Below are 4,657 nucleotides of genomic sequence, written 5' to 3' on the forward strand. Positions count from 1 at the left end.
TGACTATTTTATTGAGTCATTTTATATTTTAAACTGTTACCATATTCTAGCTCACTCTAATTAATATAGACCTCCCAAACTTTTTGTTTCCGGTAACCAAGATTGAGCTATTGAGCACCATTCTTTCATCACCAACCATCTCTTAATAACAAATACTGGTTTTAGATTCATACATTTTATAATTGCCAACCTCAATATGTACTCAGTATAATGTGGTAGAAATTGTTTATTTCTGAGGGTCAGGAGACTTCAGTTGGAACCCCACTTTGCTACTTTCTAGTAGTGTTACTTGGTGTAGTTCATAACCTGTAGGCCTCAATTTCCTCATCTGAAAACTGATAATACATACTTCACAGTTGCGTGTGTGTGTTGTGTAAAATAACTAAATAATATTTATGATGCCTACAAGCATGGACTTGGCATTCACATGATTTGAATAACAGGAAGGTGGCAATAGAAATAAGCAGGTATTATCCCAGGATTTAGACAGAGAACATGAAATACAGAGAATTTAATTCAGTAGCGTTGGTGAGATTAAGGAGAGACCGTCACTTTTACTTTACTTATGGGTTTTGCTAGCCTTTTTCCAATGAACATGAATAATAATTGGGATAAAATGTTTAACAAAAGCACTCTTTGGGGAACCAACACATTGAACTACTCAGCAGGTAATAAGACTTGGGCAGCTTAGAAGGCTATTTAAAAGAGAAAAATAACAAAAGCATTTGGTAATGAAGAGCTGGCATAGGGTAGCAGTTGAATAAAGGCTCTGAAACAAGATTGCTTACATATATAATTCTGTTTCACCATTTACTATCTGTGTAACTTTGGGTAAGTTATTTAATACTCTAGGTCTTGGTTTCATAATCTGTAAAAAAGTAGACGATAATAACCCTTACTCGTTGGGCTGTTGTGAAGGTTAAGGGAGATGACCCACATAAAGCTCTAGGAATCATGTTTGGCACATAGTAAACTTTCAAATGTTAGTTATTTTAATAAATGAGAAATATGTGATACATATGAGGAAATATGGATGTTGAATGCTGAAAGAATCAGGAAAGAATCTTTTGATTGAGCCAGTACCTCACTATCTAATCTCTCAATCAGGTGGCTGAAAAATACCCAATAATCTTTAATAATACCATTTTCATCACAACCTAAGCCTTCATGTCCAAGTTCATTCATCCAGGCGTAGTTACCTAACTACAGGGAAGCTTTTAGCTTTTACTTTGCAAGTGCAGATAGATAAAATTAAACAGAATTATGCTGAACTGTGGTTGAAATATCATTCTTTGCCTACTTCCCAATGGACAGAATGATCAAATGTTCAGAAGATGAGAAAAGCACTAGCATAATTACTTTTTATTTAACAAGACTTCTGCTTCCTTTAAATATCCTTCTCCCTTTATGATAAAACTAAGTTATAGCTTATTCGTTTTCTGATTAAGCAAGCATTTCCATGGCAACTAAAGATGATTTTTCTACCAGGGCAGACGATTTAAAAAGTAAAAAATATAATGGGTTATTTATAATTGTTGGAACAATATCTACATTCCCTATTTGATTCCAGCCAGTCACTGGGACACTGTGAAATATAACTCATACATTGACATATGTAAATACTTGTTCTAAATTACCGCCCTCTCCTTATGAGCAGGTAGCCATAGGTAACCTGTGAATATGAGAGTGGTTAAGTTGTTTTTCAAATATATGAGACTTATATTTTTAAAATATTTTAAATGAAAGTATCTGTGCAGTATAAAATATCAGGCACAACTCTTGGATTTAATTTTAACCTAAAATTTATCTTGCAGATAAAATATAAAACTATAGAGTCACAATGCCAAGTAATTTTTAATATGAGAAAAATGTCTGTTGCCACACTCAAGAAACTACTGTTTTCTTAAAAAGTCATTTTTCCACACAGTAACTGTAGCACACATGTTAAACTTAGTATTACCTGTCCTGATATTAGTTTAACCAGCAATTTTTTCATATGGACAGTTGATTATTTCCATTTGCTTATTCCATTTATAAGATTATTCTCAGAAAGAAGGCCTATATAGACAATGTTATTTCCCCAAAACATTGTTTATAAACTCACTAATGAATAAATAATCATGTACGTCCTGTTCTCAAATTTGTATTTGAAAATACATTCATTTCATTAAAATTATTTGTAATTATTAGAATAATGTGTGTCTTTTACTTTAAGACAAAATAAATGACACATGGAAAAAAAAACTTTGCTTCAAAAACCATTAGGACAATTATTTAAAGTAACTTTTAACCATGTTCAGATTTTCTTCCCACCACTTTGATAAGGATGAAAATAATGAATTCTTCAAAATTACTAGTGATTAGCTAGCGCTTTCCTTCCAATGTAATTTTCACTCATTTAATTTACCCTCCAGAGAGTGTGTGCTTCACTTTATGGAATAAAATTACTATCTTCATTTTAGAAAGGAGAAAATTCAGGTGCATTTAGGCATTGAAATGTTTGTCAAATGATTGCAACCTGCTAAGGATTGACTTGTTTTCAACCAAAATTAATATACTGAAGCCCTAAGGCCCAAAGTAATTGTATTTGGAGATGGGGCTTTTTGGAGATAATTCGGTTCAGATGAGGTCATGAGGGTGGAGCTTTTGTGGTAGGATTAATAACTAATATAGTTTTGCTATGTCCCCAACCAAAATCATAACAATCCTCAGGTGTCAAGGGTGGGGCCAGGTGGAGATAATTGAATCACGGGGGCGGTTTCCCCCATACTGTTCCCATGGTAGTGAATAAGTCTGACAAGATCTGATGGCTTTATAAATGGGAGTTCGCGTACACAAGTTCTCTTGCCTGCCACCATGTACGATGTGATTTGTTCCTCATTCACCTTCCACCATGATTATGAGGCCTCCCCAGCCATGTGGAACTGTGAGTCAATTAAACCTCTTTCCTTTATAAATTACCCAGTTTGGGGTATGTCTTTATTAGCAGCATGAGAACAGACTAATACAATAACCTTATATGAAGAAACACTAGAGCATACTCTCACATTCTCACATTCTCTCTCTCTCTCTCTCTCTCTCTGCCTCTCTCTCTTTCTCTCTCATGCTCACTTGCCTGCTCTTCATCATGTGAGAACGTAGTAAGAAGGTGTCCATCTGTAAGCCAAGAAGAGGGCCCTCACTAGGGAATAGAATCAGCAGAAAACTTGATTGTGGATATCCCAGACTCTATAACTGTGAGAAATAAATTCCTCTTGTTTAAACCATCCAGTTTATGGTATTTTTTTAATTTCTAATTTTAGTGGGTAAATAGTAGGTATATATATTCATGGGGTACATGATATATCTTGATACAGGCATATGATGCATAATAATTACATCAGGGTAAATAGGGTATCTATCATCTCAAGCAATTATTCTTTCTTTGTGTTGCAAACAATCCAATTATACTCTGTTATTTTTTAATGTGCAATAAAATATTGTTGACTATAATCACCCTATTATGTGGTCAAATACTAGAATTATTTTTATCTAACTATATTTTTGTACCATTTAACCTTCCCCACTTTCCATTTCATTATGGCAGTCCCAGCTTACTAATACACAATCCTTTCCAATTTAATGGTAAACAGATGAGACTTCTGCAAGGAGACACAAAGAATATTATCAAACAAATTTAGCTGGCAAAGTGTTTTGGGCTTCAATTCTTTGTTTACAGTCGGAATATTTGAGATACATTAAATATTATCCTTGCTTCTACATTTTTTAATCCCGGTTTTACTTAAAGATAGATCATATGGGCTTTTTTTCTAGATGCTAATTTTACTTAATGATTATTGGTATGACATTTTAAAAGTCCATATATGACTTGCGGCAAATTATCTGAAAAGATTACCAAACTTTCATATTCATATATCTCAATAGAATCTTACTGAATCACAATTTCTGTGGTAGATTTTTGGGATCTACACTCTACAATTGTAAGCATTTCCATTTTGTTCAAGGCACCCTAAAATTGATAGTCAGCAATTTGGAGAGCTAAATCATATAAACAGAAAATTAGAACAATTAGAAAACAAAATATCTTAGCAATCAGTCTTCACTGGAGGTCTGTTTTAACTCAGAGAAAAACTAAAGGATATGCTAATTCATAAATCACTGTGGTTGATTAAAGACCCTGATGACTACGGCCTAATGCCAGTATTCCTATATATTTAATCTCTTTTAAATTTTAATAGTTTCGTGGATAAATTCATAAGCACCCAAACAAGACAATCTTTACCTACATCTAAGCCTTTGTTCATAATGTTCCACTTTTCATCCATTTACTAATTATTAACAACTTATTTAGTTTGTGACTGTTTTAGGCAGTAGGGATAAAACAGTTTTAAGCAATATGGATAAAACCATTAATTACAGAGCCAAGGGCCCGAACTTATGCAACTTATACTTTATTGGGAGGGAAACAGAAACTCAAGATATAATCAAATAATCAATTAAATATATGATAAAAACTATGATGAAAATAAAAGAGAGTACATTATAGAAAGTGATTAAATGCATGGATGGTGGGGGGTACATTAGCTGTGATCAATGGGAAAGTTCTCCCTGTTGCAGTGAGAGTGTTTTACTTGGAGATATAAAGAATAAAAGGTCT

The 4,657-nt window shown here is 33.3% G+C and overlaps 1 annotated feature.

The window, feature by feature from the left end:
- Window positions 404-905: an enhancer, noted in NCBI's record as "NANOG hESC enhancer chrX:126884520-126885021 (GRCh37/hg19 assembly coordinates)". NCBI's record gives its function as "activates a minimal SCP1, AML or CMV promoter by ChIP-STARR-seq in primed H9 embryonic stem cells {active_cell/tissue: H9 hESC(primed)}" and the evidence as "EXISTENCE:reporter gene assay evidence [ECO:0000049][PMID:30033119]".

The sequence above is a fragment of the Homo sapiens genome, chromosome X (genome assembly GCF_000001405.40).
Source record: "Homo sapiens chromosome X, GRCh38.p14 Primary Assembly".
Taxonomy (NCBI): domain Eukaryota; kingdom Metazoa; phylum Chordata; class Mammalia; order Primates; family Hominidae; genus Homo; species Homo sapiens.